This window comes from Homo sapiens, chromosome 9 (genome assembly GCF_000001405.40).
Source record: "Homo sapiens chromosome 9, GRCh38.p14 Primary Assembly".
NCBI lineage: Eukaryota > Metazoa > Chordata > Mammalia > Primates > Hominidae > Homo > Homo sapiens.
Window position 1 is genome coordinate 101,657,661 of NC_000009.12, and position 27,377 is coordinate 101,685,037.

At 36.5% G+C, this 27,377-nt stretch overlaps 1 protein-coding gene across 2 annotated transcripts in view; it reads right to left on the bottom strand.

Annotated features, from left to right (window-relative positions):
* Positions 1–27,377, bottom strand: part of GRIN3A (glutamate ionotropic receptor NMDA type subunit 3A) — a 169,296-nt gene that overhangs the window by 88,309 nt on the left and 53,610 nt on the right. For both annotated transcript variants that reach the window (NM_133445.3, XM_011518211.3), the window contains exon 3: positions 12,400–13,447. In NM_133445.3, the coding sequence (NP_597702.2) occupies positions 12,400–13,447 (1,048 nt within the window). The remainder of the gene's footprint in view (positions 1–12,399; positions 13,448–27,377) is intronic.

A 27,377-nucleotide genomic window follows, 5' to 3' on the forward strand; every position in this document is an offset into this window, starting at 1 on the left:
AGCTGCCATTTCACAGGGGGTGGTGGCAGGAGAGTGGGGCAGCATCTGAGACTGACAGCATGCCACAGAGGTGGTGGATGGAAGACACTATGCAGATAAGCAACTTCTTCTTTTTAGTTTATTAAGTATCCAGAGGATATATTCTTGCCACAGTACTTCCTTGGGAAAGGGAGTAGTGATGGTAATGGTGGTGGAGGTGTGGGAGTTATTCCTGCCTGCATCTGTGTCTCTTTCGCTTCTTCATCCCAGACTGAATCCTGTACCATTTGTGCAAAGATTCAAATATCACAGCCTTAGCAGCAGTCTCTGCTCTTCAGTCATGTTTGTGGTATGAGCAGCTTTTGCAGCCTAAGTCCAGAGGTGAGGAAAGGACTTGTTGGAATAAATCAGGTAGGGGAGAACATTTTTACTGCATGTGTTAATGAAATAGTGAGTAGGAATAATTTATCATCAGATATTGTTGGGTATGAATCCTGCCTTTACCTTTTATTAGCTATATGGCTTTGGACAAGTCATCTACCTTCTTTTAGCCCAATTTCCTCATCTGTATGGATGCAGTAAAGTTTAAGTGAGGAAAATTCAATTTAAAGCAGATAGCATAGTCCCTAGACTATAGCAGGTATGTAATACATGTTAATATTATTATTTGTTGACATTGACATTTTTATTTTCTGTTCCTGAAATTATATCTATGGTCTTACCATGAAGTGAAATAAGTCTTTTATCACCTTTAGGCTGATGGTTAATCATCATTTAAAACACAAACCATAGGAGATAAATATATACCCATATTCATTTACATTCTTATTTGCCAATTGATTTACCTCCATTAATTATATGCCTTCAGGTCATGCACAGAAAAAAACCTAGTTGAAATATAATTTAAGGAAACATTGATAGGTTTTATTTGGTTGGCATTGTTAAAATTTTCTGTTTTTTGGCATTTTTTAGGCAGCAGTTTTTTGATAGAATATCATGGTAAACTCACTTCTTGAGTTTGAAAAATATTAATAGATTCTGACAAAATATTCTGAAAGTAAGCTATGAATAACATCATATATTTTATATACATGTTATTTGTCTATCTATCTGTCTATCTGTCTATCTATCTATCTATCTATGTATCTATCCATGCAATTGGCTGGAGTAGGCTTGTATTCAGTTGTGATTGAGAAAATTGAGTCCTAGCTGGCCAAATTTCCCATACTGAGTTCACAACAGACCTGAACTCTGTTAAGATTCTTGGCTTGCCACTGGATACACCAGTGGTTGAATCACACTAGCTTCTGATCTGATTAGGGATCAAAATATCAAGTTGAGGCTAAATCATAAAAATCCAACTTTCAACTTAATTTATTTACACTGTGCCTGTGGAGCTAAAATACGTATATTTTAGACACAAAAGGAGCCCTCTTGGGGGACTACCTGCAACTTCATACACAGATAAATATTTATTGAGCATGAAAATAAGATTCTTCACAGAGCAAACCATCATTAACTTAGTTCTCTGTATTCCAAATGTGAGTCCATTTAACCTACATGAACTTTTAAAATAATATTAATGTGTCTATGTGAACACAGAGTTAATAGACATGTATGCTGATAATTGTTTATAATTACCCAAGATATATATGTATATAAATACACACATAAATATTTATAGATATCTTATGACACATTTATTGACATAGAAAGTATGTATCTATGTATTTATTTATACATAGAAAGTATCTATGTATTTATTTATACATAGAAAGTATCTATGTATTTATTTATACATAGAAAGTATCTATGTATTTATTTATACATAGAAAGTATCTATGTATTTATTTATACATAGAAAGTATCTATGTATTTATTTATACATAGAAAGTATCTATGTATTTATTTATACATAGAAAGTATCTATGTATTTATTTATACATAGAAAGTATCTATGTATTGGGATAGCAAATATCTTAATACTTGCTAAGAAGGTTAATAACGTAAACAAAGGTATAAGCCAATTTTCCCTTAATTTAAGAGAAAGGTTGGCAAAAATTTGACATATTCTCTGTTTGTATTAAAATAAAGGAAATGATCTTAGACTTTCATTAAGGCAAACTCAGCACGGTATCTAATTGAAAACACTTTGCTGTATTTAATATGAATTACTGTATCTATTTGAAAGTAATACAACTGCAGTTATTTTAAAAGTTCTGTAAAGATGCCACCTCAAAATTATTTTAGAAGTAGGTGAGAAAATAAATAAATAAGTTACATGTATATTTGTTCAGTTTTTGACTTATCAATCTGAACTAGCAAAGCCTTGATGATTTTCCTATGGTTTCTTGAATTGGAGAACATTCAGGAAGGGAAAGAATATACCATTCCCCCCACCCTGCCAATTTCCACTAATTGTCGTGTACTGTGTGTCTGATCCATATAAGACCCACTGAATGATTCTAATCCAACTCCATAATATACCACCAGGGATCCAAAACCACCTAGGCTGGGGCAGCATCATCTGTCTCGTATTCCCTCACAGTGTCTTCCTACTCAAGGATCCTACATCTCTGAGACTCGGTTCCACTATGGGCATCATGGTCTTAGGTGTTATTTGCTTTAATGAAAGCAAATTATATACAATGATCTATGCAAAATACATACAATAATTATATACAATGTCCTGGCTCAAACACTCTGGGTCACCTTTGGACATAATTTCAACTGCAAATGAGAGGTGCTCCCACCCTCTACCTCAATCCTACTGGTCTCATGTTGGCCACCTCTGCTTCAATAGATGTCATAATCAAGTCCATTTACTTACTCAATAATTATCCAAATGGGGAGTTGCCATTTGCTTAGGCCCTAGGAACAGGGTGCATAAGAAAGATTTAGTCTGTACTCTCATGGAGTTTATAGTCCAGTGGTAGATAGAATAAGAACTTCAGCTGGATATTTCACATCCATTATCCTCTTTAATCTTCTCACATGAGAAGACAGAAGCCATGAGAGGCTAAGTAACTTGCAGAGCTTCACAAAACTAATATGTAATGGAATCAGACACCAAACAGAGCTGTCCAATGCCAGATTGTCCTTTATAGCATACCACATTGCCCCCAACAGGGGTTTTTCTCCTATTTGTTCCACAGCATCTAGTATAAGAATGATTTTGAAAGGTCATATCAAAAACGTTGATTTCAAACTAATCACGTCAGAGCACTATACTCTTATTCCAATGATGCTGCCATTTTTCATTCATTAGTCGAACAACATTTACTGAATATTTACTGTTCACCCAGCACTCTGCTAGGTTCTGAGGATACAGTGTTAAGCAAGATAAAGTGGGACAGTTAACAAACAGATTGCATGACAATTACAGATTGTGTTAAGTCCTAGGAGGGGAATAAACTGGGTGGAAATGAAAATTTGCTCCTGAAAGCCTCTGTGGACAGTATAAGTGTCTTTAAAATGTAAAAATTTTTGTGTGGGAGTGGTACTCATTGAGGTACTCATCTCACTTGAGGCCGCAGACAGCAGCAGCACATGTGGAGCAAATATTGCTATTGTGATATTGTCACCACTATTGTCTCATGTCTGAAATATTCTCATTCTTACTTGGGTTATTAAGTATTTTCCCATTACATAAATAATACATGAATGTTGTAAAAAATATGAGGTAGAAATAATACAATAAATATTTCCTTAATTATACTGCCCAGGTAACAGTGCTGTGATATTTTATATACGTTGCATTATATGCATTGCGTGATATTTCCTTCCAGTCATGTCCCTTTATAGCATGTACATATGCATATTACAAAATTGAAAATGTAGTATGTGGTTTTGTATCCTGACTTTTCACTTAACATTATATTTTGATTTTTTGACACCTTAAAAGGCTCTTCAATATCATTTCTTCAGGCTGCATTTTATAGCATATGGAATATTATAAGTTAGTAATTGTGCTACATATTGGACACTTACATGGTTTCCAAGTTTTTGCTATTTTAAGTAAGGCTGCAGTGACTCTTTGCAATAAGTTGTTGTCCACATACTATATTATGTGGACAGATTCCTAGAAGTGAAAGTCAAGGGCGAAAGGGCATAAACTCTGTTAAGGCTCTTGATCCAAATGGCCAAAATGATTTATGAGCATTGCATAAACCCAGCTTCCCAGTAATAGTGTTTGCTGGTGCTCATCTTAATGTGCTTCCACTAAGGTTGAGAAATATCACTAAAATAAATCTAATGTGATGGGCAAAAATGTCTCATTTCTGTTTTAATTTAGCATTTCTTTAATTACAGGTATGATTTAAATTTCTTTATTAATTGTCGCATTTATTTATTTCCTGAATTACTGTTACTATTCTTTATTTATTTGATTTTAAGGTTACTTATATATACCTTGCTATCTTCCCGAAAAGATTTAAGGCAGCTTAAAGGTCGCATAACATACAAGGTAGCAAAAATTAAAACAGAGTGAACTAAGAAAGAAAATACAAAGTCAGGAATGATGCTTAAAATGCATACCACAATGACAATTAATCTGTTTTTAGTAGGCAAGAAATTTGTCTCCAAACTCCTCTCTATAAGTTAGCTCAGTAAGGGAATCTTGTCACCGTGTTCACCTTGACAATGGGTGGGGGGAATGATTGTTCAAGATAAATATAATTATTGGTATTAAAATATGAAGAGATTTTAACTATTGTTACTATTATTTTGTGCCCCTTAGGTGTCAGACACTATGCAAGGTGCTTTACTTGAATTATTTAATGTAATCTCTGTAACTAGTTAATGGAGGTGGGAGTGCTATTTAACTTCATTTAAAATAGTGCTCGGCATGTGGGAAATGGTCAATGAATATTAGCTTTTCTTTTATTATTACCAATATTAAGCATTTCAATATCTAGAAAAGTAAATACCTTGAGCCTTTTTGAAAAGATTAACATTAATATATTATATGTAAATATACTAATATATGTTTTTAAAATATTAATCAAAGAAACAAAAAAGTCCTTTGGGATTTTGATTGAAGTTGCCTCAAACCTATAAACTAATCAAGGAATTTTGACATCTTTAAGTATTCAGTCTCCCAACTTGGTAATATGGTAGTTATTTTATCCCAACTATCTTTTATGTGGTGGTACATTAACAAATTTTTTCTTTTAACCCAATTTTTATAGAGGACATTTCCATGATCTATCATGAACTTTTGTTGCTACACTGAATAGGATATTTCTCCTATTATGTTTTCTATTTGGAAGTACATGGAGCCTGTAGGAAGTACAGCTCTCCCTACAGTATGACATTCTTTGGATTTTTCTTCTTCTGAGAAATGGTTTATCTAGAATGTCTAGTGATCAAAACCCTCTATCTTGTTACTTGTCTGACTCTCATTCCCATTTTCCTGGCTTTCCAATGTCATAGTTGATGAGACAGTTGCACTCCCCTCTGTCTAGCCTCGGGGATTCTGCACCTGCAGCCCCATCCCCCTAAAATGCTCTTCTCTAACATCCTCATCAACTTCCCTTTAACTCATTTATCTCATTCAGATCTTAGACAGACCTTCTTTCCCCATTCAGATCAGGTCTCCTGCCAGGCTCCTAGATTATGCTATATTTTACTTCTCAGTAATTTAGCATGGCTTAAATCAATCATTGACTAATTTATGTGCTCCTTTGATTAATGTTTCTCTTTCCTACTAAATTCCATGTTGCAAGGACAGTGTCTATTTTGCTTACTCTTAAATTCCCAGGCACCTCGCATGGTGCTTGGGCTAGAAGTTGCTGTTATTGAATGAATTAAGAAAGAATGAATGAGTGGATTGGTGTAACTCAGTTTCTTTCCCCTCACCTCAAATTCCATTTCAGTGTCTTGTTTGCCTTAGAGTTATGGCATCCTTCCCTTCTTTGTGGCAGCTTTCATTATATGAATTCATATGTTTTATTGGGCAGCCACAAGCTGTTATATGACAATCAATAAAGGCGTTTTTTCTTATTTTGGGAAATGCTTCTCATTTCCTACTAAGGCTCTGCCAATGTCCTTTTTTTTAAATATTTTTGGTTAAAGTTTGCCCTTGCCCTCACAGCATGTCTATTTAATTTTTAATATTTACTTGAATGTTCGCCAGGACTGTGTTTCTAAAACAGTACTGTCATTTGCCTGTACAACAATGATACTAGCTTCCTATTCCCTCTACAGAGCTGAATTTTTCTTTTTCTTTTTTTTTTTTTATTAGATACTTCTCAGGGCTAAAAGGGGAGAAGCTGGAAAAGAAGTACTAGAAAGTCCACTAAAATCAGCAAATAGCTAATTTTGAGTGTTCATGTATCCTTTCAGCTGAGCCAGTTCAACTCCATAAGGGGAAGTGGAGCTTTATTTTCCAGTGAACTTTATGTTCTGTGAAGTTATTTTCTCATCCCATCTTAGATACCAGCAGAACATATGCCAATGGCTGAAATGTCCTGTGAGTGCCCAGATCCACTCCTTAGACTGCAGACCCAAAGAGAAACCTCACTGGATAAAAACACGGCTGCAGTTTCTATCCACTTGTCAATCATCCCCAAATGCTAAAATAACATGATTTGGATGATGAGGTAGTAGATGCTTGCTTCCATCTCTCTACTTTATTTTCTGCATTGCCTATAATGAATAGTGCTATTTTACATTGAGGAAATATCCAAATAAGTTCTATTAAATATATCACTCACAAATTCCTGCTTTCATGGTCTCATGCTTCAAGAGCCCACCCACTCTGAAGCGTGGAGCTTGCTTCCCAGATGAGTTGGTAGGAGGCCGTGAGAAGCAACATATATTACTTTTATTGTAAAATAAATTATTCTAGCAAAAAGAGTTAAGTGAGGATAGAATCATCCTCTTGAACCTCATTTGCACAGCAGGCCAGTTCCTCTCTCTTGGGGTTATCTGCAAGAGCAGCCAGGTACAAGATTATTTTTTTCTTCTGACCCCCTATCAGGAAAAAAAATTTCAACCTCCTGTGGCTGCTGCAACATGCAGTGAATCATAAGTTTATCTTTCTTGCGCAGGCTCTTGCTTTTAATTTTATTTCTGATTCAAAGTAGTTGGTTAAAGCCAATGAATTTCCGCCCTAAAATGGTGATAAAATATTCACCCTCTTAATTCTTAACAGTTTTATTAATTGTGTTAAATATATAGCCAGCATTCTAAACAATTAGGATCAAGAAGAAAAATGGAGCTATTACATTCATTGTAAGTTATCTGCTATCAGGGTTACAGATACGTAGCCAGGGCTCAACTTGCAGACAGACGGTGTATAAATACAGAGGATCACAAATCTTACCTTGTAAGTCAATAGCTTTTTCATCCGAACATATTTTCCCATATAAATATTTTATAAGTGGTGTTTAGATTCCAAGACTAATACCAAAAAAAAACAGCTTAAATTTTGAGCTAGAAATATAAACTATTTACACACAAGTAAGAAAACACTGTTATTATAATTTAAAATATTACATGCAACAGAAATGTAGTTTTAAGAAAATAGTAGATAGAACTTTGGGGAGTTTCATTTTTAGATTTGGGGTGTCTGGATCGCCTCTAAGAGGTAAAAACATCAATTCCTTGGAGCACATTTCTCAGTAAAATTCTTCTATTATTTTCAAAGTTTTAGGGCGCACAATTATAACAGAAAGACTTGGAGAGATTATCTCAAGATAACCAAAGAAGAGTTAAAGGAGAAAGGAGGCAGGTGTTCAAGAGCATTAATGGGGAAGCACAGCAGGCAGGTGTTCAAGAGCATTAACGGGGAAGCACAGCAAAACTTTCTTGAGATGAATTCACTGAGGTGAGTTTTATGTAGTGAAAACGGGATGAAAATGGCAACATGGTGTAAGGGGAACCATCCTAATATCCAGTAGATAAAAGGATATGAAGAGAAATAAAGCAGATAGTAAGTCAGTGGTGGAAGAATCTTTAGAGTGTGGCCATTACTCCATATAAAATGTCACCTCCCATTGAGATTGGGGGAATTTTCGGCTTACGGCAGAAAAACAAATGTCCCAAAAGAACCACAGAGATCTATGACTTCTCCATAGGCACTAAATTCTCCCTGATTAAAATTAAAATGCTATCAAAGTGAATTTGAAAAATGAAAAGGGAATTTTGAAAAATACTCAAAAAATTAAATCACATAAACCTATTACTTTCAAAGGCAAAAACTGCAATTACTTTTGCACCAACTTAATAGTTTCATCAGACATTAAGACACATGCATGTATGCATGCATGCTAATTCTCATGGTTTGTTCTGGGCATGAATCTGCCTCTATTTTTTTCTGATAACCACTGACAAGAAGGTAGGCATATGATTCCCATAGTCACCTCAGAAAATTAGAATTCAAAGTATAGAGTGGCATTTGTGGAGCTGCATGAATTTATGAGTCACCTTTCCTCTTCATCTTTCACCTCGTCTCTCCACAAATCCTATACACCAACATCCTGGGACTCCTTATTCATGGTGCATTCCTTCAAACAGAAATTTTTCTCCCTATCACCTTCTCCCCTGGGGATCGCATACTCCCCTAGGGCTTTAATAAACAGTATGGCCTCCCTCTGCCAGGATTCTTACTAGCTTCAATCTCTCTCTTGAACTCTGGCTCCATGTTTCCAATATCTGTTGGATTTAACCTAAATGTTCAAAACAGATTTAAAAATGCCACGTATGCTATAGAGCTGGAGGCCATTACTCTTAGCAAACTAACACAGGAAGGGAAAACCAAATACCACATGTTCTTTCTTACAAGTTGGAGCTAAGTGATGAGAACTCATGGACACATAGAGGGGAATACACACTGGGGCCTATAGGAGGGTAGAGGGTGGGAGGAGGGAGAGGATCAGGAAAAACAACTGATGGGTACTAGTCTTAATACCTGGGCAAGGAAATAATCTATACAACAAACCCCCATGACAGAAGTTTACCTATGTAACAAACCTGCACATGTACCCCTAAACTTAAATTAAAAGTTTAAAATATGCCATGCATGAAACTGAACTGACTACCATATTTTCTAGCCCGTGAACTGCTGTTTCTGTGCTTCCTTGAATGTACCAGCATCTTCTCAGACACTCAGGCCTGCAGCTCTGAAGGTGTGACTCTTTGTTGCCTCTCCCAACCAATTAATTGCCAAGTCCTGCTGATTGGAATGCAATATTTCTCACATCCTTTCTTCAGTGACCAAATCTATATCAGTGACCAAAGCTATAATTTCAGCTCTATTCATTTTCTTTCTCTTGTAATCTTGTTTGCCTGCTGCTGAAGCAGCCATCCTAAATGGATACCACTATACTGTGCTATTCTATTGTTCAAAAATGGCCATGGATCTATATTGAAGTTCACTCTTCTTAGCCTGACATCAAAGATCCTCTGTTATCTCAATTAAGCTTACTTTTTCCAGACTTGGATCTTATCTCCTTCCACTCCTGTAACCTATGCTGTAGCTAAATTAGATTCCTCATATCTTGCCTGTGCTTTATACTTCGTATTACCTATATACTTTATACTATATACCTATATACTTTATATTATAAGGAGCAGAATGAATTACTTGGAGGTAATACATTATATTACAAAATAGGTATACTTTATAGGTAATATAAAGTATTACCTCCAAGCAATTCATTCTGCTCCTTCACTTAGGATGTCCATTTCTCCTCCCTGGACACACATTCTGAATTCTTACTATTCTTTAAGAATAGGCACAAATATTACCTTATTAATTAAACTTTCTTCCATTGTAATGAGTTGAAGGTGATCATTCTTTCCTTGAACTTGGACAGTACTTCATCTGTTGCTAAACTTTGGCGTATTTGTAACCTTCTAAGTTGCTTCTCCTTTTGTTTATGTCTTTTCTTCCCTAATTGATTGAAGTCAAACAATTTGACTCATTTACCTCTGAATTGCTCTACCTTATTTAGTATAAGAAATGGTATAGGCCCTCCTCAAGGAATTTAGCATTAATAGGAGAGAAAAGCACTCATGTGAGTAACTACGGTATAATAAGAGTACATTCTGAGTGACTGAGGGATGTGGAAATAATTTTTATCTTGTATCTCTGTTTGAGAGTGAGGACATTATGTAGTCCACATAATATGACATATTTGGATGAAAACTAAAAAATTCTATCACAACAATTATTCCTCCTAAATCCCGGGGTCAAACATTGCTTAGCTAAGTAATCTGGGTGTCTTTTTATGGAAAGAAGTGAACCTACAAAAGAGATATTTTACCGTAGAAACAACGCTAGTACACACATGCACATTTTTAGGAAACTTAGTGGAAATTCATTTATTATCCCAAATTGAAAATAGTTTAGATTTAGGTTTGTCCCATTTCATTAAGAACTCACTAGTTGTAATGCAAAGTTGACTTTGTCCAGTTCTACTGGCTTTGTGTTGTGGACCGGGTTAGACTTATTAAAAAATTTCACTCTTTATTCTGGTAGAGTCAGAGATGAAATGATTATTTCTTTTTGCTTAAAAATAATTTCACTGCTGCGTATAGCTTGTCTTTATAATTTTATTTTTAATACTTTAGCATAATCACTCTTACAGATTTTCATGCATAGCATCCCTGGCTTAATTTTGGCAATCACTCGTTCTGATAAATAAAGCTCTAGTTAGTATTGTGTTCATCTTTTTACATAAGATAATGGCCTGAAATCTCCACAACAGGCATATATTAGATTTTTTTTTTTACTAGATCAGACTAAATACTTTTAATTTTGAGCTAATAATTTAGGAGTCACTTTGTTGAGATTCTCACAAATAATCTAAGTTTCTAGTGAGGCTGAAAACCTTCAGAAGATTTACAGGACTCCTGGGGCAAAGAATAAACAAAGGCTGCTGATGCCAGTGCAGAATGTGAATGCAGAAGCATCACCAACATCTCCCTTTAGGGTGATGCATTTATTTATGCTAATGATTTTATTTGTGTTCACTGAATTCCAGCTCCTAACATAAAGCCCTGAGTATTCATTGAGAAGTTACAAAATTTCTTGCCTAGTCAATGAGGCATTGTTGGCTGAATCCTCTCATGAGGTTCATGTCACTTATCAGAAGGTTTGCAATATATGGGTCAAATTTCTTACATTCTTTTGGTTGCAAAACAGAACTTACATCCAACTGAAACCATCTATGAAAAATCTTTAAAGCTGCCACCAGCCCTCTGGGGCATTCTATCATTTAGTAAAGATAGCTACAAATGTCCTACTTGTTGATGGTCTATGAAATTAATTTTAAATGTTTAATAGTAACTTATAGTAAATAGTTCAATACATTGAGACTTGGTGTGACAAGGGGCATTTGGAAAAGCCTGTGAATGTTTTATAATATGAAAGGCTCAGCTTAGCTTAAGTTGCTTTAGACATGGTATGTCCTGAGTGTGCCTGCTGAATTGAACCTTTCTCCAATCTCTACTTAATGTATCCTACATGTTGGAATGCACTGCAGCTTCAGATCTGCACTCTGTTTCCCATCAGGACTGCAGTACTCCCCTGAGCTCTGTTCTAATTGCCCTGGTCCTTGACAGTCCCCTCTCTCTAGTCCTATTGGGCTGGACTAATTTTCTGTACCCCAGCTCACTTAGAGGGGCCCTGGTTCAATCCAGAGAGAACATGGAATGGCTGTCCTTACCTAAGTATTACCTGCTTTGGCTGTTTACCTGCACTCTACACTTCCTCTTCCTTCTTCCCTTAGGGTCAGATGTCTAGGATATCAAGGGTACCCTGGATAGACAAAATCTTCTTGAATGTCCTTGGACTGCTGGCACTCTCCCTTCTATGCAAGGTAGTCAGCTGAGCAGCTCCCCTTACTTTATAGGCCTTAGCTAATTCTGCCATCTCAGTTAGTCTGATACTCCTTGTTCTACACTCAGTGAGTTCCCTAGCAGTTGACTTTGGTGCTTATAATAAAATTTAATTCTTTCCATTGTATCACTTTTTAGTGATGAAAAAGATTCTTTGCTATTTAAAATATGGATCTTCCAATTTATTTTTATTAATTCCCAAGATAAGTAATTCATCAGTTTTTAAGGTGTGCTTTGGGTGAAAATACCTTATAAGACCATTCCCTGATAGGTGTGCTATCTATCAGATGGTCAAATAATACAAGGAAAAGATGCATTAATAGATATTTCTATCAGAAAGACCTACTCTAGAAAAGACACTCCCCAAAACTTCTCAGTCTTTTTGTTTCGTTTATGAAACAAACAATGGAATATTTAGTTAAACCAGGCAACAGACTTTTGGACTAGTCTCTATACTTGGCTGAGAGAATATTCCTGTGTTAGATGGAAGAACATGAGCATACTACAGCAGAAGATACAACATACGGAATTATAATGGACAATCAAGAAAGCTAAAGTAAAATGAAGTATTACCTTGGGGTCATGTATTCCAGAAAGCTCTTCATAGATCTTCTCACCTACCATGACAGCAGCCAAGTTTGCCGTGTATGTGGAAAGGCAAAACATACAGAAAATGGCCCAAAGGTTCATTAGAAACCTTCCAGTCCAACATTTTGGAGGTTTGATGGCCACTGTTCTGCCAAACAAGAGGGCATAACAGATGTTCAAGGCTGAAGAAAAGGAGAAGACTTTACTTCTATTTCGCCCCTTGGGAGTCAAACCAAATGGACTCTTCCATTCATACAGAGTGAGGAAGACGGCAGTGATGTGCAGAGCCACAAAAATCCCCAGCCACATTGTCCAGTGGAGTGGCCACATGAAGGCTCCAATGGGAGCTGCTGTATCTCGGGTCCTCACTAAGATGCCCAAGCTGGTGGAGAAGAAAGGGCTGGTGAAATCTATCACCTGGCTCCGTGCAGTATTGATGCTAAAGGAAGTGACTGCCATGTGGGCAGTCCCTCTCAGGAGATCACCCACTAGCCCAGTCCAGTGCCCATTTTTCCATGCTCCATACTTTCCATCCCCTACAATATAGAGGTCGAAGTCAAAGTTCATGTCTTCTGCTATCTTTTCCAGCAGATCAATGCAATATCCATAGCAGCACTTCTTGAATTTAATGGGCACTGTATCATTACTGCTATGGAGGCTGCTAAAAAGGCTGTCCAATGTGGAAGAGTCATTAGTCATGGGGTCTAGACAGAGTTGGCCAGCAGGGCACAAGCCTTCATCATCTACCTCCCTTGTGAAGACAAAAGGATGCTCAATCAGGGTAACCACTCTCAAGTGTAGCTTACTTGGATGTTGGAAGTGGGTTTTGTGTCTCTGGGCCTGCTCTGGCCATATTCCATAGTCCATGACAATCTTTCCCCCCTGCCAGCTGCCCAAGCGGGTCCACATTGGCTTTCCCATGGGGTCATGTTGAAGATTCCAGATGAAAAAGTTGTTTTCTGAGCTGACGATGGTGGAACCTTTTACTCTGATGGAACCACTGAGGCCTCTGAAAGTGGTATTGGCTAGAAACCTGGGAAAGAGGAGCAAAGGCAAAAAGTAAGAAAAGCAGTGAGGCCTAAGATAGGAAGCAGTGTTCAGCTTTGCTTCCTTGTCTTAATAAAAATAAATTCGAATTTTTATTTAAAAAGACAGTGCCTATAATTTCTTCAAATGTTAATAAGCTGGACTCATTCTCTATTATAGGAGTAAAGTCCTATTGCACTAAGCAAATGAGATTTCACTCTCAGGTTCTAATATTCTAGCCAGGTGCTTGACTCTTAGTCTTACTCCAAATGTTTTAATTCCTAGTTAAGAGATGTGTTAACCATTTTCTGTTGTAAACTGTTAATTGCATATTCTCACAACTTTTCAAGCTATGGAGGTTTTCAGCATCTTTAACATATCCTATTTCTATTGTTGACTATGTTCAATTGTAACTACACCTTCTATTTATCTATGTATCTATCGATCTATCTAGATATTTGGCACAGGGAATGAGATTAAAAAGTATGCATATACTTTAATAATTGCTTAAACACTGCATTCATAACATTAGAAAATAGCCAAATCTTGTTACCAATGTTTCTTCTTGTGGAATGAAATCAGTTAACATAACTGTCCCCGTGAGGCTAGTTGAAGCTGCATGTTGGATCTCATCCATGGAACAAAGGAAAAGATGATAAATCAACTTGCACTTTTAAGGATAGCCTCAGGCTAGCCTCCCTCCAAGTCATTAGAGAGAAACAATTGGCCCTGGTTCTAGAGAGAGCTTATGCCAGAAGCCACAGAAAGGAAAATTACCAACTAAATAATATAGTGATTCCTAACCCTGTGAACTAGGGCACTTACAGTATATGTTCTGATATGGACTAGACAGAAAAACTAGACTAATATGGCTTGGTCTTAGCCTATGTCTTTTTTGAGTCTGGGAAGATTAGACAGTAAGAGGTAACATATAAGCTTGTGGCATATTAATGGCAATAATAAAGATTAATGTGGCTTGTGGCCTTGTGTTAGAATAAAAGCCCAGGCTTTGGCATCAGATCCACCCCCATTTGAATATTGGTCTAGCCACCTGCTAACATGGCCCTTGAACAATTTACTTGAACAATTTACTTAACTCTATGCTTTAGTTTTGTCACCAGCAAAATAGAGAAAATACTTCCTTCATTACAAGAGTTGGAAATAATTTATGTAAAGCACATGCTACATCTAACTTGGAACAAATATTCCAGATATGGTAACTCTGACTTAATGTCATTCAAGTTTTTTTCAGTCAAGGCTGTCTCCAGGTTACTTTTTCCAATAATTTTAATACAATTTTAAAAGTGGGAAACACAAAGTATTGCATTATGATAAATCCATGGCAGTTACTCAAGACACATTTCAAATTAAAAGAAATTAAATTGAAATGTAGAGTGGAACACAGTAGGTATTTTGAAAAATCAGATGATGTAAGTGTAGGCTCTTAGCAAAACATATTCACCCATTGCCTGTCACAAATATTACTCTATAATTTACAAATACAAATAGAAGAAATAAGACATTATGTTGCCACAGAAGGGACATAGAAAAATCAGAAAGTGTGAAGTACGTACTAATTTTCATTAGAGATATAAATGTAAATCACATTTGAAGATGCTACTATCAATCAATGCAGTGAAACTGTTCATTTTGGAAGATTGTTTGTAATGGTAATTATTCATGTTAGTACTCCCCAGTGGGATTCTACCACTTAAATTCTATTTTGCAACAAGTAATGAAGTCTCAGCTATCTTAGATTTTGAAGTAGTTTTCTGCTTCTTTAGAGAAGGAGCCAAATCATTAAAATATACAGATTAATCAATTGATAATTACCTAGGTACTATAAGGGAAAGCTGATACACTTGTTTATAAGAAATCTACTTTTAGATTTGTTAAAACACACACATATACATACTTGCTGATATAAGAAATAAACAGTTAGTAGTAAGTAGGTTAATTTCTTCTGGTCAATTTACTGATCAGGAAAGTAAAGAGGAAGTTGTGGAAAGAGGAACCCTTCATTATTTTAAGAATGTTTGAGGCTTAATGATTATAGATTCTTAACTGGATGGACCCTTGAGAGAGTACCTTTGACCAAATATATGCTTAAACCATATCAGAAAAAGGCACTAGAAATCTTCAGAAAATTTCCAGAGATTACACAACTCTGTCATTCCAGTAAAACCTATTACTGATTATTGGTATTAAATAACATTTAAGATGGCCATGATAGAGGGACAAGGCCCAGTTGTCTTTGAGCCAGTCATTTTCCAAAGAAGGCAAATCAATAGGGACCTGAATATCTCCAGTTTTCCCAGCCCAGAAAATCCAATGCTTGTTTCACTACTGGCTCCAAAAAATTGGGTCCCAGAGAATCACCATTTATGACAGATTATTTGTGTCTGTTTCATTTTTAGTCTTACGATAAGGGTGAATCAAAATAATCTCATGAAAGCTTTAATTATAGTCACCTGTACTAATGGAATGACAATGCATAGCAAAATATAAATGCTCACTAAATTAGTTAAAATATCAAAAGGCTGAAATCCTGATTTTGCTTAAATTGAATTCCATCACATTCCTTTTTTATCTTGCCCTTTACTCTTCTTGGATAAACAAGGAGAAAAATCAGGAATAGTTTTACTGGCACCATAAACTGACAAACTCCTGGGCACTCTTCCAACTCTAGAGTTACAGGGATGAAAGACAAACTCATTGGTCTCAAGGAGCTCAAGAAGGTCAAAGTCTAATTCTGGGGAGAGAGAAAGTGAGCAGGCAATTCAGACCCGCATAATGGGCATCATGATAGAGGTAAATCTGGTGTCACTGGAACAGAGAGCAAGAGCACCTGCACATTCTACTATAGGGTGCCAAGGAAAGTTTCGTAGAGGAGGAAGTGCCAGAGCTGAGTCTTGAAGAAGGAATTACAGTAAGCCAGGAAGAGAAGCTGGGAAATGATGTTGTCATCTCAAGGAAATACAAATACAAAGGCCAGAGACAGAGAGTGTGAGCTGTTTGACGATAAGAGATGAAAAATAAGGAGGGAGATGAGGATAGGAAATGAATTACATCAGATCTGAGGCTACAGTGAAGACAACAAGGAGGCATTGAGGGGAATTTGTCTGGGGGGAGTCATGATCATTCGATTTAATTTTACAATGATTTTTTTCCTTGCTAGTTATATAGGACATAGTTTGGAAGGAGGAGGGGACTGAACATAAGTCCACATGTGAGGAACAATGCTTCTTCCTTCTTTCTTTTGCTTCCTCTTTTACTCTCTCTCTGCTAGTCTCATAAAGGGCTTAAGGTGGTAAGGGCTAAGGCAGTAGCAGAAATGGAGAGGAGATGGTATAATCAAGAGATATTTTGTTTTCAAAAAGGAAAGCAGTGATTTAAGAGGGCCAAATGTACAGGGTTGCAAACTTTACTAAGAATGTGTGGAACTCAGCTTGACAGAAGGTCATATAAATAAGACCTGTTAGTATTTAGTTGAATATAAACTCAATGTAAGCCCATATAGCAATGTGGGTATAAAAAAGTAACCTTAAGTTCCTTTAATAAAAATTTAGAGCCTGGATCAAAGGGAACAGTAATACTACCATTCTCTGTGCTGATCAGATAACTGCTCCAGCCTGGATATGAACTCTAAACAAATCTTCCAGAGTCAGGAATGTTATGAAGAAAGGTAAGAAGGTGGAAAATGTAAGAGGAGGTAGTAAGCATAATAATCGGATTGGAGAGCAGGGTAGAAAAATATTAGAAAATAACATAGGGAAAGCAGGTTGAAACTAGACTATGGAGGCCTCATGTACCTGTTTTATGACATTGGATTTTATTTTAGTAGGAAAAGGGGAACCATGAAGATTACTGAGTAGCATAATGACTTTAACAGAGATCTACATTAGTTAATATTGGTCTGGAGGCAAGTAAAATGCACATATAGGAAAGAAAAATGGTGACTAAGAGACCACTTACAATATCTTTGTCATGGTTTGATAAGGGCGTGGATCTAACTCCATGAGTGAGAACCTTGTTTAGTGAGTGTTTAACAAAGTAGTTCAGGTATTCATCTTTTTTATCAACAAACCTCCCAAGATACCATTCTCCTTAAAAGAATGAGGCTTACTAATGAATTTTTCTTTATTAAAATCTCCCAATATGTCACTAATTAAGAATACGTAATTTGCATAACAGCTGAGATAAAATCTGCACTTTGCAAATTACTTAGAAAATGTTTTTGAGACAGTTCACAGTATAAGCAAGATCAATATTTAATATATTTAATATATATTTTAGAAGCCATATTTGCATGCAAAATGTTGACATCCTAATTAAAGTATTTTCTTATTTATTCATCATAAAATGAGCAACACATCACACATTCAATCATCTATTTATTCCACAATACTCACTATGTGCCAGGCACTGTCCTAGGTGCTGGGGGTGTAGTAGTGAAGTAAGACCACAATCTATGCAGCTTATATTCTATTGAAGGAGACAGAATACATATGATAAATAGGTAATACGTGTAGGATTTAGACCTGGCACAATGTTGACATAGGAGGGGTTTTTTTTTTGTAATTTTAAAAGGTTTGAGCTTTGATTTATTGTATTTTTCACATATAAAAATCTGCTGCTTAAGTTTATAGCCTGTTTTGGATGCTGAAATACTGTCATTTTGGGTAAATATTCTATGTGCTAATCAAAATGGGTGTACATTCTCTGTGAAATGTTAACTGCAGTTAATACATTGATTATCTTAATGTATTAATTACATTAGTCATGTGCTATTTTTACTTTTTGTAACTTGCCTAAAATTTGCTAAAGTTAAATAAAAATCTTCCACTACAAATAATGTTGCCCTTTTCTTAGAGATTTTAAGAATTGTTGCCCCCCTGATTTTTCTTGTCTTATTTGACACATCAAGTTTTATTAGTATTATGTTTTTATGTTTATTATGAATTTGTATTTTTTCTGGCTGTGGAAATAGCTCTGAAATAACTCCATTGTTTTCAGCCTTCATTTCTGTCTACATATTATCACTTTTGTGTTGTTTAAATGCATCACCATCCTCAAGTGTCTTCTTTCATGACCTAGTTATTTATAGACCATATATTTATTTCTACTTCAATCATTTTTCACTCATCAATTTGTCTCTTTGTATATCTACCTCTCTTTTTTTTCTTTTAAATTGCCCTATTACCTTTTCTTTTTCCCCCTATTTATTGCCTTCCATTAATCATATCTGTCTATGTGAATATCTATTTTGTACTACAAGGCCTTAAAATTAATTTTTCCCCCTGGGAACTGTCTTTGTATCATTAAACATATCAATATCCTCTTTCTCTTATATCTTGAAAACTAAGCTGAAGTTCTTTTCCCATGATCATCTCATCATATTTGATATTTCCCCCGAGGAATGAGGGATTTACTCATGCTGCATAAAGCTCTATCAATTTTTTTTTTCTGTGAGAACTTCATTTTGATTTTTTGCTTTTGCCTGATTAGGAATCTTTAAGAATATTATTACTAGTAACATTCTCTCAAACTCCCTTCCTACCAGGATCACCTAATTCTTGTTAGGTTTACTGAGTTTACTTGTCAGGATTACTTGCTCCTATACATGGAATTTAAATATTTGCTTCTTGGTTACTTTTAATTTAGCTTGCGATCTACCAACTATTGGCATGTAGTAGAAAACCCAGCTCAATAAAGTCCTTATCATTTGAGACAAAGGAATATTCTTAAACCTTCCCCTTTTCCTTTTTTTTTTTCTGTGAGAAAGAGAAACTTGACATAGATGTTCAGTAATCCTATCTTTTCTTAATGTGATTCATATCTACGACGAATCTTCTAATTAAAAACTCACATTCTCCAGAGTTCTACACTTTTGCATTTGTCACAAGTTCACACTTATGTAGTCTTTTTTTTTTTTCTGCTCTTTTTCATTCAAGAGCCCTAAGCTATTCTCTCTTTGGATTGTCTTTTAGAACTCTTACAGCCAATTTTGATATTTCACAATGTCCATAGACCTCCAGTTATCTGAATTATTTACTATACATAGTTTACATTTGTATTTTTCCATGTGTATATTTCTTATTTTTTCAGGGCTTTCCCCTAAACTCTCTGATTTCCTAAATTATTCTCATTTTACACCTCTTCCTCTGGCTCCCTTCCCTCCAGTATTCTCACTGTTTCTGGCATGTGGGTTAATCTACAGTTGGCTCATTGTTTCTTTAATACTCTTTATTTTATTTTATTTTTTCTGAATTTTTTGTTTTTCTCTCTCCCTCCCTCTCCCCCTTTTCTTTTTAGTGGTTTTTGTATAGCAGAAATGCCAATATTCTGTCTTGTTAGTGGGAGATCTTGTCTTAAAGCAGCTCTTTGACCATCGTTAGTTAATTTACTATTTGTCGCCATTCCAGCTCCCTTCCCACTGCCTTCTGAGATCCATCTATTTACTTCCCTTTATTTTTTTATGTCTCTTTTACCATTTTTCCCTTTTCTTACGGCCCTAGGGAACCTTTCTGTACTTGATGGCGAGTTGTTACTAGTTCAGCTTTCATTTTGTGGCTTGTTTCACCAAAGCCGAGCCCTGTGGTATCTGCCTTCCTTTTATGATAACATGAATTTGTCCATTTTAGCCACAGAGCTTACCTGTGGTCCAATTCTGTTTGATTTTCTTCTCCATATATGGGACAGTTCTCCAAATTAAACATTAAATGTGCGTGATTTCTTGAGCTTACATGTGAAATGACTCCTTGACTCTCCTCTTACTATCCTAAAGTAGAAGAATTTGGCAGTTTATTTATCTCATCTTTGACTTTTTAGACTATAAGGCCCTCAAAGGCATGGGTTTGGACCTACTCCAGATTTGGAGAGCAGCATCTTCCACAGAATTGCTGTTCTCCCTTCCCCACTGCTCTGCTTCATAACACTGCAGGCTGTCAAGCTGAAAGAGGCTTCAGCATTTATCTAAGTACCTATCTCACTGAGTCATCTTTGACTCTTAGGCACAACACAGTGCTTGGCCAGGGTAACTGCTCAGTAATGTTTTGGGGTAAATGCAATTAAACACATGTCTTCTGCTCAAATCAGACATGTATCTCTTACAGTGATCTTCATCACTTTGCCAGAAGAATGGGGCTCATTAAGTCAGGAAACATTTGCATTTGTAATTTGCAAATTGTTTGAAGGATTAAACTTTCAATACATTTTCCTCCTGAATAATGGAGAGTATAAAAAATTGAAGTTAGTTCAATGGGGAACCTCTCTGATGAGAAGGAGTTTAATAGGGTTTGGAAATTGCTAAATTTCCATCCTCAGAACAGAAGGCCCTGCACGCTATAATCCCTGATTATGTCATCTTTTAAAATTGCATACAAGGCTCATCTTTTAAAAAATATTTCTATCAGTTAATGGTCAACAGCAATTTAGTAATATATTAAACATATATGTACACATATATGAATCATTTGGGTCTATGTTTTGTCAATATCTGCAAAATTCAATTACTTATAGGTGAAACTGTAGGGTGGAAGGAGAGCTCCTACCTTTCTTGAAGTTTTCACCAAGAAGAGAACAATACTAATCTATGTGGTGGGGTCATAATTTAATACATGTCTTGTGCTGTGTTACTATTGGTGTGTATGAGGGGCTTGCTACATCAAGAAGTCATACACACAGACATGGTAATCTCTTTTTCTTGCTTCCATGTGTTGTAACTGGCAAGCTGGCACTTTTTTCTCTCTGTGTTTTCTTCTCTGATATGTTACCTAAAACAGTTTGATTTATTCCATACCCCTATATCATTGTCCTTACCTTTTGCTTTTTGGTATGAACCTTGACTCTTCTATACAATTATGATCTCTGCCTAGCCCTTGAACTGTTCCTGGTCACACTGTGAAACATCACAACTCAATTCATTCTGGCTCTTTGGATCTGGCCCCAGTGCTAGCCAAGGTGTTGATGTCCCTTCAAGTATTGCCTTGGCATAGCCCTGGCAATAAGACATTATGCAGTATTTACCAGTCAAACATCTATCCTAAGGGTTGTAGGGTATGCAGATTGAAGTGGTCTTGAGAGATAAATCTGAAAATCAGAGTAGAGCTTCAGTATTACTCTGCATAGTTTCATACTTTTTGGCAGATTTCCAGATTTTACAGTAGATGCATATAAAGTGAAAAAGTCAACCAAGAATACAGTTCCTTCTCGGGCACATAAAAGCTTGGAAGCTCTCCTAATTGGGAAATATTCCACAGTTTAAAATCTGCTGAATCCTAGATTAAGTAAATTTGAGCTGTATTCATCAAAATAGAGTCTTGAGGGAATATACATTTTCCAGTGTACCTTATGTGAGTCCCCCCGACCCCGCCCCGCAGTGACTTAGGGAAAATTTTAGACTCATCTCTTGGCATGACTTAAGTGACCTGGAGTAGAGGTAATTTCAAAGAATTCCAGCCAGATCATTCGGCTGACAAGGGTTCCTACTGAAAACATCTGAACACACAGACCTTAAGTGTTGATCCCTGAGATTCATGAACCCAAACATGTCTTTTCTAGAAGTATCAACACCTTAGTAGCCCTAGCAGAGAAAGTTAACCTAGGAGTAAGAGTTAGGTATACTGGATCAGCCATAAGCAATGTGTTCTTCTCGGGACTCCAGGGAGCTAGTGCTAAGCAGCCTCCAACCCCTGGCTTCCATGTTTAATGCAACTGCATTTCTTTTAAGTACATGTTGAAATACGTGGGTTAACCAGTTTGTGTTGGTAGAGGTCCTTAGGACAAGAATGCTTATAAAATTTAAGAACAATTAAGAAAATTACTGTATGCAGATGCGATTTGTATAGCTTCAGGCTGAAAGAATATAAATTAAAAAGTAATAGGATCCCAATTAAGGAAGGCTTATACTAATTCTGAAAGAGCCTGGAATATGAATTTAGATAAACTGGTTTAAATCTTCCCCTGCAAAGTAGTAGCTGAATGACCTTAGACATACTACTTAACTTTTTGAGACAGGTATCCTTATAGTTAAGGAAATTAAAGTTTATGACATTTAAATAACTTTAACATGGTCACAATGCCACTAAGTTATGGTGACAGTGGACAGAATATCCAAAATTAGAATTATAGCATTCAGCCTCAAGTTCTTCTGGAACTCTGCTAATGTTCAGGAATAAATTGTGATGATTATCAATTTATATGTTGGGTTTTTTGAATGGACATTTGTTTGATTCATTTTTTTGAAGATTTTCTAATTCTTCTCAATGCCTGGCACATAATAGGTTCTTAAGAATATATGCAGAATCAATAATGAAAACATTTATTATTAATAAAAGGCCAGTGAGTATTGATATTGCTTGACTGTGTAAGCATAAAGATAAACATAGTTTGAAGAGAAAAGAGTCTCTAGTGTGTTGAATCATAATTCAGGGTCAACTGAGGAGGGAGGCCTAGAAATGCTAGCACCAGCAGAGTATAATCACTGGTATAAAGGGTGTTATCCCAGTGAAGAATAATAACCAAACAGCCAGGTCAAGGAAAATGGATAAAACTATGAATAATTAGATGAGCATGTCTTCTCCTGGTGGAAGAACAGAAGGGGGTTGCTAGCTTCCTGACAGCACGGCCTCTTACCTTCTATTCCTTCTGTCTCCAGACAAGGGCTTGACCTTATATTAGTTAATTTCAGCAAATACATGTGAACAAAGGAACGAATTAATCACTGACTACTTGATTCAATTCTCAAGGGATACAGAACAGAACTGCAGAAGCTGTTCAAAGAAGAAAAGGAGGATTCTACATCCCAATTAGAAGCTAGAATAAACGATCAGAACTATGGCTAATTAGTCAAAGGGTTAGGGACTTCTTAGGCCAAGAACAACAATGTGTCTGTCAGTGTCCAGACTCTTGGGATTCTTAAAGAAAAGATAAGTGTTGATGACCAGATTATGACCAACCCATGGAGCTTTCTCTGCAGGAACAATGAATTTATTAGCACTTAGGGCCTTTAGGCAAGCATGGGCAAATCATAATCCTGGGAACAGCAGGTAAATTCTCAAACTCCTATTCACTTTCCCCAGAGTCCGATGTTCAGAATGCAGCAAGGGAGTAAATGTGGGCAAGGCTAAAAGCAATTTTGAGAAATAAAAACAATGTTTATATCCTAATGTTTAAAAAAAATTACTTGCAAAGCTTTTATACTGTATTACTTTATTTGGTTAATTTGTTACAGGATTATGATTTTTATAAATATGTCAGGGCTAATGTTCTGCCATTCAGTTGACATCCGCTCTGCATATAAAATGCAAATGCCTTAGCTTGGCATACAAACTCTGTGTGGTATGTTATCAAGTTGACTACTTTTCCAGAATCATCTCAAATCCTTTTCATATGCAATTAATGCTCCAGCCATACTAAATTTATCTTTCAGGTCTTGGTGAATTTGCATATGTCATTTCCTTTGTCTGTGAATTTGTTCCAAACCTAAAACCCCTTTTCATTTACAGGATCCAAGTCCAGTGTTTTTCCCTCATCACCAAATATCTGAGAAGAGTTCATTATTTCCCTCTGTATATCTGAATATATCCCTATTCTTTTTTTTTTTTTTTTTTTATTATACTCTAAGTTTTAGGGTACATGTGCACATTGTGCAGGTTAGTTACATATGTATACATGTGCCATGCTGGTGCGCTGCACCCACTAATGTGTCATCTAGCATTAGGTATATCTCCCAATGCTATCCCTCCCCCCTCCCCCGACCCCACCACAGTCCCCAGAGTGTGATATTCCCCTTCCTGTGTCCATGTGATCTCATTGTGCAATTCCCACCTATGAGTGAGAATATGCAGTGTTTGGTTTTTTGTTCTTGCGATAGTTTACTGAGAATGATGGTTTCCAATTTCATCCATGTCCCTACAAAGGATATGAACTCATCATTTTTTATGGCTGCATAGTATTCCATGGTGTATATGTGCCACATTTTCTTAATCCAGTCTATCATTGTTGGACATTTGGGTTGGTTCCAAGTCTTTGCTATTGTGAATAGTGCCGCAATAAACATACGTGTGCATGTGTCTTTATAGCAGCATGATTTATACTCATTTGGGTATATACCCAGTAATGGGATGGCTGGGTCAAGTGGTATTTCTAGTTCTAGATCCCTGAGGAATCGCCACACTGACTTCCACAATGGTTGAACTAGTTTACAGTCCCACCAACAGTGTAAAAGTGTTCCTATTTCTCCGCATCCTCTCCAGCACCTGTTGTTTCCTGACTTTTTAATGATTGCCATTCTAACTGGTGTGAGATGGTATCTCATAGTGGTTTTGATTTGCATTTCTCTGGAATATATCCCTATTCTTATAAATCACACATCCCATTGTTTTATAACCATTTACTTACATTTCGACCTCATTCACTAGACTGTCAGCTCCTAAATGTCAGAATTCAAGTCTTCATTTTGTCTACCCGACCATAGTTCAACACATGGTCATTGGCTAGGCAAAAACATCCATTCAAATGCGCTTATAAAGGTATTCTCAAAATAATATTCCACCAATAATTGCTCCAATTAACTAACATTTAAAAAAACAACTTGTAGCTGGGCGTGGTGGCTCACGCCTGTAATCCCAGCACTTCGGGAGGCCGAGGCGGGCGGATCATGAGGTCAGGAGATCGAGACCATCCTGGCTAACACGGTGAAACCCCGTCTCTACTAAAAATACAAAAAATTAGCCAGGCGTGGTGGCGGGCGCCTGTAGTCCCAGCTACTCGGGAGGCTGAGGCAGGAGAATGGCGTGAACCAGGGAGGCGGAGCTTGCAGTGAGCCGAGATTGCGCCACCGCACTCCAGCCTGGGCGACAGAGAAAGACTCCGTCTCAAAAACAAAAACAAAACAAAACAAAACTTGTAAATATATTGTTGAAGATTGTTGAAGATCATGCTATGAACTTGGTCCCTGAATGTTTTGTCTACATTTAGTTATTATGGACATTTGCTCTGGCATGTGGGGACCTAGGAAGAATAAAATCTCTAATACCTGTAATTATGTGTGTGTAGTCTGCCATGAGAAATGACTTTTCTAATCTGAAAGCCTAGCTGAAAATGCCATGTTTTTGGTGATTTCATTAACATTTTAAGATGTTAACAGTTCTGTCAGCCCAAACTGAAAATGACTGTGTGAGAAATGAAAACTTGCGTAACTCTGACATCCACTATTCATGGCTCATTATCCTCCCGACTTTCATTATGCAGTGAAGAAGTGGGGGCAGCCTTACAAAATTTAAGAACAATTAAGAAAATTACTGTATGCAGATGTGACTTATGGACTGAGAATAACTTACTTTCTGAAAGACTGTATTAAACAAAATAAATAAGGATGATGGAAAATCCACAGATGTTTTATGGCTTAAGGCAGCTTTTCAGTTATTCATTATAAAGTCTCCTTCCTGGGTTTTGCTCATTTCCCTTGACTTGTTCCTGAATACTTTTCAAACTTTCTCTTTTCCTGTATCCCTCAGGAGTTTAAAAAGTCTCAGGTATACTTCCTGAAGTTCTTTGGGTTCATTTCTCAAACACATTCATCATGATGAAAATATTGTCACTGACCCGGTGTAAATTACTGCTGGGCTTCAAACCTCACAATCTTCTTTTACAGCTTCAAAGTTTGTGGAATAAATAGCCACGAGGGCAGAGGTTATATACTAACCTAACATCCCACCATAAGGAGAGAGAGAGAGAGACAGTGAGAGAGAGAGAGAGAGAGAGAGAGAGAGAGAGCGAGAGAGAAAGAAAACCAAACAGAAATCATCCAGTATTTATGTAAATTTAAAAAGTACTTAATTTAGACAATATCTACCATCTATCCATTTCTTCTACAGCAACAGATAATGTAGGATGTAAATAAAACAGAAAGTTACTTTTCTTTCTTTCTATGTCAATCCCCTGCCCTCCCCTTCCCTTCCCTCCCCCTTCCTTTCCTTCTTCCTGTCTTTTTCTTTCTTTCTTTCTTTCTTTCTTTTTTTTTTTGTGACGGAGTCTCGCCAGGCTGGAGTGCAGTGGCACGATCTCGGCTCACTGCAACCTCTGCCTCCCAGGTTCAAGCGATTCTCCTGCATCAGCCTCCCACGTAGCTGGGACTACAGTCGCGGTGCCAGCATGCTTAGCTAATTTTTTTTTTTTTTTTTTTTTTTTGTGCAGACGGGGTTTCACCATATTGGCCAGGATGGTCTGATCTCTTGACCTCGTGATCCGCCCACCTCGGCCTCCCAAAGTGCTGGGATTACAGGCGTGAGCCACCGCCCCTGGCCTCTATGTCAATTTCAATAAATACCTATTAAGTGCCTACTATAGGCTAGGCATTGGATAAGGCTCAATAATAGCGTCTCCACTTAACAGAATTTATATTCTAGCTCAGAACTCAGATTCACAGACAAATAATGAGGATAGAATGGGCCAAGTACCACTATGTAATTTTATATACAAAATGCCATGGGATCCTTGTGGAAGGAAGAACATAATTTTAATATAAATTAAATCTTGAGGAGCCAGAAAGATCAGTCTGATCTTGGTAAAATGAGACCCTAAGGTATATACAACTTAAGTCAACAAATATTCTTCTCTGTAGTTTCTAAACGTTTTTAGGATTCAAACAGAATCACTTTTCTTGCATTCTCCTTTTTACATGAGACAAAAAGATGCTAAGGAACTCAATGTAGTTTTCATAAGTGGTTTTTCCTGGCTGCTGTTTATGACTGTCCTTCCAAAACAATGACTATTTGAAATTATAAATCAAAACTTTGCTTGTATTTTTGTTGTAAAGGAGAATGTTTCTTGTCTTAGATAAAATTCTGAACCTTAATTATGTGCGAGCTTGCCAACAGTAGATTAAATCTGGAGAGTGGCTATAAAATAAAATATGCATGGATTTTAATCTT